The 15,258-nt window shown below is 32.1% G+C and overlaps 1 protein-coding gene across 51 annotated transcripts in view; it reads right to left on the reverse strand.

The window, feature by feature from the left end:
• The window catches only part of PPFIA2 (PPFI scaffold protein A2), a 501,376-nt gene that overhangs the window by 102,066 nt on the left and 384,052 nt on the right, over window positions 1-15,258 (reverse strand). For 48 of the 51 annotated variants that reach the window (XM_024449242.2, XM_017020107.3, XM_024449240.2 and 45 more), the window contains 5 exons: window positions 14,594-14,728; window positions 9,071-9,154; window positions 8,685-8,816; window positions 7,068-7,130; window positions 2,653-2,744 (listed from right to left, as the gene is read on the reverse strand). In XM_024449242.2, the coding sequence (XP_024305010.1) occupies window positions 2,653-2,744; window positions 7,068-7,130; window positions 8,685-8,816; window positions 9,071-9,154; window positions 14,594-14,728 (506 nt within the window). Of the gene's footprint in view, window positions 1-2,652; window positions 2,745-7,067; window positions 7,131-8,062; window positions 8,127-8,684; window positions 8,817-9,070; window positions 9,155-9,249; window positions 9,330-9,581; window positions 9,848-14,593; window positions 14,729-15,258 lie in introns of those variants that run through there. The other 3 variants (NM_001220480.3, NM_001220479.3, XM_024449245.2) reach the window with 3 other exon arrangements.

Below are 15,258 nucleotides of genomic sequence, written 5' to 3' on the forward strand. Positions count from 1 at the left end.
TGAAAACAGTCTCAACACATGTGGTTAACAGTTTTAAGGTCTCAGTTTAAAAGTGCTATTGCCATCTACCCTTCTAGCTCCTAGTATTCTTTTTTATTGTACCAGTCCTCAAACTCATCTCTCTCCTCTTTTTTCCAGTTCTCTGAGCTAGTTCTCTAACAGGAGAAAACAGAGGCAATATTATCATACTAGTTCAATTTTTAAATCATTCTAGGTGTTCAGTATTTTGAAAGGCTTTTGGAAGGTCTAAGTAAGTCACAAAATAGGCATCAGTTCCTTTAAGCAATGAACCCTGTAGCTTCTCCTCCTGAATCTCCTGTGACTCTTGCATGTAATCTCATTAAAGAACTTGCATAAATAAGCCAGGTAAGAATTTTTTTAGAGAAAACCTATTACCCATCGCTCTGCTTCCTGGAGTGTTCTCTGTTGTCCTTTCCAATTACCCAGAGTCTATCTTTTTTCAGAGTTGAGCCAAATCAAGCCCTTTGTAGTCACTCTGGAACTCATTTTACTTTCTTCTTAGATGAGATATTAAGAGAGAAGAGTGGTCACTGATATTCACTCACCTTAGCTTATCTCTCCTCACCTCTCCACCTATTAGATCAAAACTTAGTAGACTGAGTTCTCATGCACCTCCTATTTCCATTATTGTTTTTACGAAATTACTTGTCCTCAGAAGCATGAATGTTCTATAAATAATTGTTGTTTAATAAATATTCAGTTATCCTGTAACTTATTATAATAAGTTCTGTTTAGCTAGCTTACCTTAATTATTTCTATAATACTTTATACTTGTGATATGATTTACTATACATATAATCCCTACTGCTTGTCTTATTTTATCTGCAAACCAAGCCTGTGATATAATCAGAAAAATATCATTTATGCATATTTAGGTACAAATATGTATTTATTTAGAATGTTATTAAGGAAAACAGGTTTCCAAAATGAAGCAGCTTGTAATTATCTGTGAGTCCTAGGAATGTGGATTGTCTTATTCTTGGTCTAGGGTTCCTTCCACTACAATCTGTTGATCAAAGAATAATTGTTCTATATAGGCCAAATCATCCTTCATTGTAGATAAATGTCACATTGTTAGGCTGCCCATAATGACTCAGTGCAGTGATAGACTTTTAGACAACACTTTGAAACTCTGTATTTTGAGACATAAGGTCAAAAAAACAAGGAAATGGCCATTTATTCTTAATCAAATATATTTAATCTATTGATTTGATAATGCTTATTCTATGCATTGACTCCCCTGATATTTTACCAGTTCTTCTCCTTCTCCTTCTCCACCATCCTCATTATAATCATCATAACCATGTGAACACATAACATTGAAATAATAATTTCAGTTCACATGTAAAAATCAGAATCTTAAAAATGTGAAAAATAAGAACGATTTTCTCAATTAATGACTTACATATGTAAAAGTTCTTTGAGTGTTTTTATGCCTGCCGAACTTTTTCTCATATTCAATTGAGTATGGAAGTACTTAAAATATCAAATATTGTTTTTCCTTACATTTATATTGAAAAGAATTTAAGACACTTCAGGATTTTTTCAATTTGAATTTTTATTTGAGAATCTGAAAAATGCTTTACCAGATATTCATTTATTCATTCTATAATATATCTTGAGAGCATACTATATGCAAGATAGTTTTTTAGGTGTTGAGATTATGGTAGTTATCAAAACAAATACAAACCCATCCTCTGGTGGAGTTAACTTTCTAAAGATGAACATAACACCAAGAAAGATGAACTTCTACTAAAAGCCTATGGTAGTGGAAAGTTTCAAACGGCTGCTATTATTCTGTGTTGCCTAGTAAATAAGTGACTAAATGAGTGTGTCCTTCTAGGGTTTCTAACAACTTTAAATAAAACATCTCAAACACAAAAGGAAATTATGTGTGAATTATTAACATATAGATCTATCTATGTATCTATCTATGTATCTATGTATCTATCTATCTATCTATCTATCTATCTATCTATCTATCTATCTATGATCTATCAAGTAAGCTGCCATCCATTGCTTCTTTTTCTTAAGATGAGATAGTGAATCAAAGTAGATGAGTATGGCTAAATTTATTTGAAGTTTTTGTTTTCTTTTCTTTTATCTGATTCATTTCTCTTTTCCTCTTTTTTTTTTTTGCAATTACTTTACCGAAATAGGTAGATGCTAAGTGACCATAATCAATAATATTTGTTTAGTCACATAAGCATTGAACATATTTCTGCATGTTTCTACACTGAACACATATAGAAAATTTTATGTCGAATTCAATTTCTGTATTGAACACATATAAAGAGAAGGGCTGACGCCTCTTCTTGAATGAGATGCAATCTCCCTGTACACAGTTCAATTTCTTCAATTAAGAATCTTTTAATATATTTATATATATAATGAAATGCAGAATACAAAAGTTAACATTTTAATTTTTTATTGATTATCTACAGAAATAATCTCTAAGTTAAAAAGTTATTTTTGAATGTAAAAACTGCAAATCAGTGAAGAGTCAAAACATGATAATGACTAGTGAGCAATAGGAAGTACTGATTTATTTTAGTTGAGGACATATGAAACCATAAGGGAATTCATGTTGATTTTCAGTGAATTATAGATAAGCTTTTAGTTTAATGTTACCTTGGTATTGTGGGTTCAATTAAAGAGCCAGTTCTCATTTTCAATTGGTCAAGTTCAGATCTCAGCTTTTCAATTTCTTCTGCTAATCTTTCCTAAAAAATCAAAACAGTGTTACTCAGATGCCAGTAATATCAGCAAGCAATTATGATAAATGAGTCTTAATGATTTTTTTTAAAAAGGAAAAACTGAGGATATATTTTTATTAAAGGTTATTACACATAATAATAAAGCACGCCAAAATTTTCCCCTTGTAATAAAAAATGTGGATAGCAGAAATTAATAAAAATTTATCTACAATCTCTGGCATTCACTAATCCTGAATATTTGAAAATTCGTGGGAATATTAAAATTATGACTAGCTATGTAGATGTCACTTAAAAATGCAGAGTAGAAATCATATGCAGTTTTGAAAATAAAGAAAATGTCTTATTTATGCAGTAAATGAAGAACTTTCATTATTCTATGAGGGTTAAAGGACATATGGGTGAAGGAAAAAGATGATTGGATTGAAAGAAAAAGGAAAGTAAACCCTCTGGCTTTTACTCTGCATGAGATAGGCAACAATTGGAGGATTTTTTTAAAAAATATTAATTAATTAATTAATTTATTTATTTATTTAAAGACAGGGCCTCACTCTGTCACTGAGGCTGGAGTGCACCTTAAAAAGTAAAGTTAATAACCAATTAGCTTGATATTGTCACCATTATTTGTACTTAATTATAATTTTCTCAAATTGGCATTTTCTGGTCTATAAATTTATGAAGATAGGGGTTGTCTTAGAGCTTTAATTAACTGCTCATGTAAGCATTCAATTTGGTTTTAATGATTATAACTGTTATATTGTTTTACAGGTCTAAATGTATCATTCTAGATTTTTCTATTACTGTTTTTCCCCTTCCCAGTGGCCAGTGCTTGATATTTTACTTTACTCAAACTTTTCTCACCACATTTTTTTTTGTTAATGTGGCCTTTGCAATGTTTCTCTTTTCTGTTCTTTTTATTCTCACTACGTCACTACCATCCTACTCTAAGCCCTTTTTATCTTTTTCCTGAATGATTTTTACCAGCTTCAGTCTCTTTCCTACACATTTCTCTGCTAGACATATAATTTCAAAACACATGTACAATAAACTAATGTGTTGCTTTAAAATGTTCAATAGTTTCTTATTGATTTGTAAATATCTTTGTTCATTATTTTCACAAAAGTGCGCTGAGTACCTCTTGTGTGTCAGGCACCTGAGATACAGTAGTGAGCTGACAAATGTCTTGCCCTCATGCAATTTAGAATTTAGTAGAAAAGATGAATAATAAACAAGTAGTAATATAGAAATATAGCATGTTGTTAGAAAGGAGAAAACAGGGGAGTCATGGAAGGGTTTTTCAATAAAGTGATACTTGGACAATGACCTAAATAAAGGAGAAATTAAAAAATGAGACTCTTAGGAAAAGGCATGGCAGATAAAAGCAACAACACGTGCATACGCCTCTTAGTGGAAATGGAGTAGAGGGTAAGGAGTCCAGTGTGGCTGGATTGCAGAGGTTAAATTGACAAATAGAGGATACTTTTTAAAAGTATGATTGCAGAACTCAGGAATGGTAGTCCTAAAAGAGGTTGTAAACCACTTCAAACTCTGGCTTTTACTCTGCATGAGATAGGCAACAATTGAAGGATTTTAAAAAATTATTTTATTTATGTATTTATTTATTTAAAGACAGGGTCTCACTTTGCCACTGAAACTGGAGTGCAGTTCTGTGATCACAGTTCATTGCAGTCTTGAACTCCAGGGCTCAAGTAATCCTCTTGCCTCTGCCTTCCAAGTAGTTAGGAGGACTACAGGTGTGCACCACTGCACCTGGCTAATTTGTTTTTAATTTTTATTTTTGTAAAGATGGGGTCTTGCTATGTTTCCTGGATTTTCTAGCAGAGAAGTGGCATGATCATTCTAATGGCTGTGAAATAGATTGTCAAGTTGAATTGGGAGTCAGAAAAGAGAGGAAATTTTGAGGCAAGAGAGTAATGGTTTGGACAAGAATGGTGTTAGGGTAAGAGTGGCTATATTTTGGCTATATCGTGAGAGTAGAAATAAGAGGATTTGATATTGGACTAGATGTGGGATATGAAACAAACATAGGGGTCAAGACTAAGTCCAAGTTTTTTAGCCTGAGTAACTGAAAGAAAGAAAGAAATTGTAATTATGATTGACTGAGAAGACTGCTGGTGTGTTAGGTTAGATGGTGGTGGTGTTTGATGTGTGGGAGTGGGGTGAGAATAGACTGGCATGTTACATTTGAGGTACCTAGGTGTCCAAATGGAGATATTGAGTTGGCAATAGAATATATAAACTCTCTCAGGGAAGAGGACCCAGTAGGTAATCTAAATTTGGATGTGCTCAATTTATAGATGGTGTTTAAATCCAGGAGATCAGATGAAGTCACTAGGGGTGAATCAGAGAGAAGAAAGGAAAGCTACCTAGAAACTTCAAATTGTAGAGATAAAGATGGAAAGGGAAACACTGAGAAAAGAGTTTGAGCCTACAGAGGGTTTTGCTGATAATGGACTGTGAGTACAGTTAGTTTAGTGGAAATTTGAGGAATTATAGAAGATGTGGTCAGATTAGTGAATGTGCCCATCTAAATGGGATGATAGTTCAGACATGAGATATGATCTGGGATTTACTCTCTCTGGAGACTGACATAAGCAAGGATGCAAAGCATGGCATGATTAGTACTCTTGGTTGCTTAGGCAGATTGTTGGAGTTACAAGGCTTTGGTAGGTGGTGGGGGAGTGGGTTCTGGGGATATTGCCAGGAGCACACAGAGCTTTGGATAACATAACATGCATAACAGCATCACGTCCAAAATTCACAATCTGCTCAAAAACTACTTCTTTAAATACATACCAGTCACAGTAAACTTCTGATGATTCATCAAATCAATCATCTTGATTTTCTTTGTGCCGTTGCAGAGGATTCATCCTCTACTTAGAATGCTCTACCTTTATGAAGATCATATATGTCTTTAAGAGGCTACTAAAAATGTAATCTCTGTGTTGTTTTTGTGAACTACCTCAGAAAGAATCAGATACTATATTCTAGGCCCCACATTACATTGTTCTAAAGACCTATCTTTCAGGAGATTGTGGACACCTTGACTGTAGAATTAGTTATTTTTAATTGCTTCATAATATGCAGCATCCAGTAGGGTTAAATGTATAATTGTTCTCTTTCCTCTATTCTTCATCTTTTCCAATACCTTCTATATCCCATACTATCCCTCCCTCCCTCCCTCCCTCCCTTCCTTCCTTCCTTCCTTCCTTCCTTCCTTCCTTCCTTCCTTCCTTCCCTCCCTCCCTCTTCCCTTTCCTTCCCTTCCCTTCCCTCCCTTCTTTCTTCCCCCTCTCCCTTCTTTCCTTCATTCTCTTTTTCCCTTCCTTCTCTCTCTCCATTTCTTCTATCTTTTCTCAACATACAGTTATAGATCACTTCTTAAGTTAGCAATCCTTTCTTCTTTAAAAAAATAAGATAAAATTGCTAACAATAACTTTAAAGGCTAATGAAGAAGGAAAATACTATTAGCAATTACCATTAAAATTTCACAATCTGCCCTTAGTTTCCTCTTCTACCACATACCCTACAACAGGAATAATTGATTCCAGCCAAATAGTTGTGCCTATTATTTAAAATGTCACACTCATTACCCATCCCCTCACCCCACCAAGCACCTGTGATCATGCCACATGCACTATGTTTGAAAGCCTGGGGTCAGAGTCCTACTTTCCCTTAAATCTTCAGTCAAGTCCCTCCTTCCTGAAGTCTTCTTCACAGCAGCAATATATCATGGTCTTTCCTACCTGTAGCTCTTACTGCCTACTTCACTAATTTGGCATTTGGCATCTGCTACCCTGCATCCTCATTGGTTTGTAAGGGCTGTGTTCTCTCTCCTCAGTTAGATTTTTTTAGCTCCTTTGGAACTAGGATTATGTTTGGACATATATAACTTAGCATAATTCTATTTATAATAGTATTTAATGTATTTCTGCTGAAAGAATATCTAAAACTGACATAAATTAGCGCATATATTTTAATTCTATTTATATAAGGCATAAAGCAAGGCAAAACCATTTTTTAATGTTATAAGTCAAGATAGTGATTATCCTTTAATGGAAGAGTATGAGTATAGACTAATTTGGGGGGAGTTTCTGAAGTGCTAATTTTTGGTGAATTTGGGTTACAAAGATTCATGAAGCTCTTCCTCTCTATGTACGCTTTTCTGCACATATTCTAAAAAGTTAAAATTGTTTTACAAAGATAGCATACTAAAATTATTTTTTCAAATTTATTTTACAACAAAACATTCATCAGTGGAATAGAAAATAAAAATAGAAAATGGGCCCAAAACATAAGTTTCCATTATACCTTATCATGTAAAGATTCTTCAAGATTCTTTCTGAAAGTTTCTGATTCTTGAATTAAAACATTCTAAAGAAAAGAAAATAGCAGAAATAATTAATAAATTAAACATAAAATACTTAAAAATATATTGATTAATATCTTATCACTCAAGAATCCTCTTAGATTCCTTCCTTAGTTCAGGTATTTCTTGGTTTCCATGGAAACCATGCTTTGATGAAATTTTCAAATGTGAGACCTTCACATTTAAAAAATACATAATTTAAATGGGAAATGCTATTTTGTAACACTTGAATGAACAAATGAAATAAATATTGCATTTTAAGCTACTTCTGTTTGCCTTTTCTCAGACCACATTTTAAATCAGAAACTATTGGTTATTCTTCAAGTAAGAAAAAGTGAGCAACAAGCTAAATCTTAGAGGTGTTATAAAAAATTCAGAAGAACTCACTTCTATTGTCTGAAGAAAGAAGAAATCATGAAATCATATTTTTTAAAATTTCACTTTCTGGACATCTACTGCAATGTGGAATTAACAATTTATAATGATACTTAAATTATTAGAGAAATAACAAACTCTAGCTATTCAGAAACCTAATATTACATGTCACAAAGTCAGTGGAAATAAGTTGGCATCATAGATACTTAAAATAAACCTTGCCAGAAAATTATTTTTGTTGTTAAAAATTATTTATTTTTCTACAAAACACACAAGTACTATAAGACATTATTTAAAATAATGTATTCTTTTTCAAAGTTATAGAATAAAATTAAACTAAGAGTGTAGTAATTGCATAGGGGCCATGTATTTGAAGTTGTATGAGAGGAAGTCATGTCTTATTACTTTCTAATGGGTAAATTAATCAAACTAACTTTTTGTCAAAACATTTTCCCTATTTTGGTTTATTTTATGTACTAATGGAAAATGTCTAGCTAAAATAGTGATTGGCATTCAATCTAGATTTCTAAAATGATGTGATCATCCGGGTTTTATACCCTACCTTAATTTATGCTCTGGAATTGGTAACCAGCTCTCATAACTCTTGCTGGTCTGGTAGCTGCCAACTATCAATGAGACATATATAACTGTAAATCACATTGCAGACTGTACAGAAGCACTATTTCTGAAATAATGCAGCTGAAAATACTGGGTTCCTAAACCCTCTACTGGGATTGATACTAGTTCTTTTGATGATATAAACTCACTTACATTTTGACTTTTAGACTGGTGTGTAGGTATCAGTCACTTGACACGTGAATATTTCAAATCACCTTCCCCCCAAAAAAGTATTGACTTGTGTCTCATCACTTTTCTATTTTGCATACCAGGCAAAGGATATATAAAATATTTTCATCATAAAAGCACAGCATATTTTAATACATTTGCCTCATATGAACATGTGAATATAAAAGATTTATATATCATGCAAATTTTTTATTCATCCCAAATTTGATCTTACACTTTTTTAAATAAAAAATATGCATTCCTTTCTAAGAATATACCAGGCATTTTTAAAAACTAAGTAAATGGATCATCTGACCATTACAATGATTGCAGCTGTATATAAAACAAACATGAGCATTGCAAAATATTCATGTGATTTTACCCTTCTATCGTTTTACCTTTTCTTCTAGAGCAGCCATTCTTTCCTTTAAGTGTAGTTGTAGGCGTTCATTGGATTCAGTCAGAAGTCTATCAACCGTATCCGATAATCTCTTGTTATGCTCCTCATTCATTTTCTCTCTTTGCCTAGCCTTACATTTTAAAAAATGACATAAAAATCCATTCAAAAACTGTTTGAGATTATTTTTATAGTGTTGCTAGTTTTAAATTGAATTTAATTTTACATCTGTTTTGATTAAAGTGGTGGAAACATTTTATTCAAGTCAACAGGTCATATTTGTAAGTTTTAAATATAACCCATACTCAGTTAAAGGCTTTCTTCTTATATACAGAATACGAATTCATAAACCAATGATTGGGGGGTAATAGTTCTTAATATACATACTCTTTGAAGTTCTTGATTCTTCTCTTCAAGTTGACCCTCTAAATGTCTCATACGTTCTTCAATATTTCCATGTCTCTCTTCAGCCTGTTAAGAAATATGAAGAATACACCTGAAATGTAAGATTTGGTTAACACTTTTCCTCTAAATAAATTGAAATAAAATGTAAAGCAAGCTACTACCAACTGCAAACATAGTTTTTAAAAAATAAACTTTCTTCAAACAGGCAGCTGAACAGCATTGCTTGAAATGTGTCAGCTACAAAGGCCTGTTACATCCAAGCATCAGCAAAACATTGGAGTTATTTATGAGCAATGAAATCAGCCAAATGTAACATGCAGACTGTGCATGGTTTGAACACAAACCTGCCATTGTCCAATCTTAAGCTCCTGAAGCACTGAACTGCACAGATGGTTGATTATCAATAAATAAAAGTAACATAATTTTTATAAATGAAAAGAAAAACTTAGATGGATTCTATTTAGCAATAGAAAGTAAAGTCCAGTAGGACTACCTTCCTACGTATGGAGATCATTTCTTGTAGTTTAGCTTCCATAACATATTGATAATCATCAGATGAGGTAGAAGAGGTTGGATCAGACTAACGAGTCAAGGAAAAGGAGAGGGACAAAATTGAAAAATCAGAACTAAAGACACTGACACCAAACAGAACATAGCACAGAATGCTTAAAAGAAAAGTGTGACAGCAAATTTAATACTTTAATAGACAGAATTTTATGTGGAAAGAACTACATTGATATTTGGTGAACACGATGCAGTTGATGGTTTTAAATAAAAAACAATAATATACTAAAATAAAAAGCTATCAACCTAAGATATGAAAGGTTAGTGATGGCTGGCAATGAAAGACTACTACAGAATGAATAAAGCAACTCTGAAAGAGTTATATAATAATTGGAATTATGGGAAACCAAACACCAGAATATGTCTCTGATAGATTGTTAAAAGTTTGTATTAGGGTTTGTTTGTCTATATTACTTAAAAATAATGGAAACAGTAGTTTCACAATGTTGAGGAAAATGCTAGACAATGACTCAGGTGTAATTAATTTGGAACAAAATTTATTCTAAACCTTGCTCTGTAGAAAAAAAGATAAAAAAACTAAGCCTGGGGGTTATTGTGAGTAGTCCCCAATTCAAGCAAGATTGAGTTTCCTCAGCAACAGGAAAACTTATGAAATGACTTCTGGTCTCTGAATGCACACTATGGTCATTGGTCTAGAATCTAATGGCCTACTCTCAGATACTTGGTCTCAAATATTGGTCTAACGGTCCACTCTCAGATATTGGTCTAGAATTTAATGGCTTACTCTCAGATAGGTTTAATTAGAAATTTTAAATGAAAATGATTGAAAGTCCTCAAATTATCAATTGACAACAATGCTGTGAGAACAAGAAATCTTGTTTGTGACTCTCCTAAATGACATTAGGGGCCAATCCCAAACTGTTCCTGCATTGATTTGTTGCTGTGGAAACAAAATAGTGCCTAAAGTGAATAGGCAGCACAGTTTCCTTGTAAGCTCATGTTTGCCCAGTGCCAAGGTTAGATACATGTCTTGGAGGTGACCGTCAGGTTACCACAGGTGCAGAGTGTTCAACACATGTGACATTGCTGATAGCAAAATTGTTAGTATGTTATGCAAGGATTACATATGAAGTTATATCAACATTTTAATCATTGCAAGTTAAGTAATTATTACATTTAAAGGACTCTATGTCAGGACTACAAATTTAACTCCACAGCATATTCTGTCACATTTTATAAGCTCATTCTAAAACAGTGAAACTCACTTTATGCCAATATAGAACTATATATAAATATGTCATGCAGTAACTGAAAAGAAATAGTAACCTATTCATTTGATTCAGATGCATATATACTATTTTATGCAATAAATTCAAATTTAATCTATGAAAGCAAACATTTAACATTTCAATTCTGGTGTGCTTATGCAAACTACAATTCAACATTTACATTTTGTAAGGCTTTCCTTCTGATATTCTTATTTTATAAATGTGGAAGATAATAAAGACATGATAACCAATTCCTTTCCTCCAAGTCGTCCTCAAATTTCCAATTTAGAAGCTATACAGAGTTACCATGGTCCCCAAATGCCATAATTTTTTAAATAATATTATTTAAAAATATATTTTATTAAAAATAAAAATTTAAATAATATTATTTAAATTTTAGAGTAAGTGGATCAAAATGTTGTTGAAATTATATAATCTAAATTCATAAAGATATCTGTGATCCTTCAAAATTACATTTTAACATGCAGTTAGTAGTGTTTAAATTAATTAGGTGACTGACTCAAGACACTTGAGACATGAATATTTCAGCTGCCAAAACTGTGTCTTCAAAAATACAAGTTTTTAGAGGTCTTTAAAACTTCTAGTTGTTTCTGTTTACTTATTAAAAACACATCAAACTTAAAAAGAAAAAACACACAAAACACCAAAATTGTGAAAATTCCCTTCAGAGAAAAAAAAAGAATTTGGTCCTGTTTAAATTCCTATTATTGCTGATACATTTTATTGGTACTAGAAATAAATAAAATACCTCATTCAAGATGAATTATGTCCTTGCTAAAGGAATATGCATTTTAATTAAAAAGTAGATATTATAAATCATAAGACTGGGAGCCCAAAGTAATCTTTATTGGTTAATTGCGTATAAACTCGCCAAAGCAAAACTTTTAGTTGTATCCATAACCATTAATCAATCATTCTGACTTTCTAAAAGACATAAATAAGCTTTGCCTATACACACACACACACAAACACACACACACACACAAACACACACACACACACAAACACATTAGAAGGAGAAAAATAGTTTATCAACCAAAGAATGCATTCAGACATCCCATCTAAATAATATATACTGGGACCAATTTTCAACCAACACTACTGATTTGCATTCTATGTGAAAACTATAGTTTTAGCAATTGTTGTAAATACAAAGATCACACAGAAACAGTCTGCTATTTTTTATACTCCTTGGTGAAAAACTGTTTATCTTAGTTTCACTCCTTAATATGATATAGGAAAATTTAAAATATACTAAAGTTTTAGGATGAACTACAGGCAGAAATGGTTTTGAGAACATGAATAACCTCAGAAAGGGAGAAGAAATTAAATTTAAAGAGAAAGACCTAGAAAAAAGAAGAAAAAAAGGTGACAGTAAAGTAGAAAAACGTATATTGGTGAAATAAAATGTCTGAGGGGTTATTAAGAATATCATTCAAAATATAGGAGGAGGAACCCATGTTTAAGCTAAGAAGAAATATTTTTACTTTAGTGAGTAGTCAAAAGGTTAATGAACAGAAAAAGACTATGATGATCCATAATAAGGAAATATCAGAAACAAATTGAAACAGAAAAAAAAAAAAAAAACAGATATAAAAATAGACCCTAAAGGTCTTGAGAACAGAGTACAAGAAAAAGTACAAGGCTGTTGAAACCACAAAACTTGGGAAAAGGAATGAAAGAGTGATCCTCAAATGTTTAAAAAAAAAAAATGACAGGCAAAAGGAATGTGTTCAGGATAAAATCTCAGTACTTAAGGAGCTTTCATAATGAATAAAATATGGTCATAATATAAAAAGTATATATTTAAAATATGTTGTTGACAAAGCACCAGTCAGAAGAGAAAGTGATAAAAAGGAGAGTGAATCAGAGCATTTGAAGACTTTTTGGAAGAATTCCAATTTTCTGAAAAATGAAATCAAAGAGGTTCAGGGACAGTAAAGGGAGGAGAAAGCTGAGGGGAGCTATTTTTTGTGCCCAAGGTAATATTGTGCCCAAGATATATATATATCAACTTAACAGACTAGACAAGATAAGAGGAAAAAATATAAGGCACCTAATTCCAGTTATTTTTATATATTCTAAATCAATAATTCTTGGGAGTATTTAATATAGTGTTTTTTATGTCAAATATTATATTTTAAATTGTTTTTATTCTCAGTCTATCAAAGGTTAATGTGGGGCAGTGATTTTCTGAATTGTAAATTGTGTTACTTGGGGGAAATTGCAGATTTTCTTGTGTTTTAGTCAAGATAATATTGATAATTATTTTAAGCTACAATTTTACAAAAGTTATTTTTCTTATTCAGTAACTCATCTAACCCCCCAAAACAGTGCAATTGAAAAAGATAACTCTTTTTGAAAGTCCTTTATGTTCTTTAGATGAAAGGCCTAATTATGCATATCTTAGTCTAGGTTATAGTCATTTAAGATCTGTGTTTGCAAGAAAAAATGAAATAATATGAACATGTTTAAATATTTTTTCAAATTAAATGATAAATTAATCTTTATCTTAGAAATCACATATTCCTGAAATTGCCAGAGTGGTTTACTGGCATGGTTTGTGACTACAGAACGATCCAAATTATAATCCCATCTTAATCAGTTTTATCCAACTAGTTACTCCAACACTCTGTAAACAAGCAACTATTTAAATGCTCTCTAATCCTGCTCTACGCAGTCAAAGGTTTGTCTTTCATTACCTGGTTAATTGTCCTATTTTAACCAACAGGAAGATCAGTCCACTGTTCATTTTTAATTATTTGCTTTTTTAGAAAATCAGATGTGTGTGTCTACTTCATTGCTGCATCAATTATTTTGGGTAAATCCTAATCCCGTAATTTTAAACTTGAAGTCCAGATACCTATCATACTCACTTATTGTAGTGGCCTTGAAAACTTAGCAAATATTAATGATTGTATAAAAATATAAATTGTGTGATTATTTTTGAATTCATATTAAATGTCAAACATGCTTTTAGTGACAAAATGTAGTTTTATATAACTTGTGACATATACATACACTTTGAAATGATGCCATTTCCGTTTGATTGTCAGAGGTCAGAATAGTTCTTTTTAACATTATAATGCTTGTAAAATTCTAAAATATTCAGATAGTTGCAGAATCTACTGGCCATATTATACAGAAAATTTTGAACACTCTTCAGCGTATTATTGATTTTAATTTTCAGATGAAATTACAACTATAAAACTGCTTTCTGATTTTTAATTGTTTTAGACCTCAGACTTTTATAAGTCTAACTTCCCACTTCTAACAAGTTTTATACTGTAGTTGGAGAGGAATCAAGAAGTTATGATATTCTCTATACTTCTAATAGCAATTGATGTGAAGCCTGTTAAATTGTTATGTCTCATATAACATTATCTTTTTTGTTTATCTCCAGGATTATTATACAAATATTACCATGGAAAATTAACTATAACAATGACATGAAATTTTACTTGTTTTGTTAATGTTTAAATAGGCAGGGGGATCATCACATTTGTATAACAATTATTCCTGCTGGCATAAATATGTATGACAAGAAAAAAATTGACTTAATAACAGCTCAATATAATAGAGATTAAACTTAATTTTCATAAAGCCTATAGAAAATCTTTACACATTCCATTTTGATTACAAGTCCTTTCTACAAATATATCTAGGTTGACCAGTTGTTCTAGTGCAGTACCTTGGTTAGGGCTGCAATTCTCTGAGCCAGTTCAGCCTCTACTTCAGGCAAGGTTTCAGCCTTTCTCATGGTCTGCTGCAACTTTTGTTCAGCTAGCTCAAGACGTTCTTGTAACTGTCTGTTTTTCTCTTCCATCTGAAATGGGAATGGGAGCAGAGACACTTAAAGAGTCAGAGTTTGGATAGCAAACACCAGTCGCCAGGGGCTTTGCACTTCAGCCATGATTCTAGATTTAAATCAGCCACTACCACACCTAAATGTGCAAAGTGTTGATTGTTGTCTTGTTATCATATATTGCTTATCTGTTTCCTTCATACATTTCAGCACATTAAAACAATGAAGAAGCTCTTACCACTGGCAGCAAAAAGGAAAGAAATTACTCATGAGTATACATTTTAACAAAGGGAATATAGCTCAGTACTAAGACATCAGATATACCACCGTAGCAAAATATTGAAAATCATGGTATTTAGACTGGAGTTGGAGAGGTAATGTAGCATGATGATCCAGGCTCTAGAGATAAGGTTGACAAACATTTTCTGTAACAGGTCAGATAGTAAAAATGTTAGGCCTCCTGTATCATATGGCCTCAATCCCAAATACTCAACTGCGTTGTAGCACAAAAACAGTCATAGACAATGATTAAATGATTGGGCATGGCTGTG

This window comes from Homo sapiens, chromosome 12, assembly GCF_000001405.40.
Source record: "Homo sapiens chromosome 12, GRCh38.p14 Primary Assembly".
NCBI classification, from domain to species: domain Eukaryota; kingdom Metazoa; phylum Chordata; class Mammalia; order Primates; family Hominidae; genus Homo; species Homo sapiens.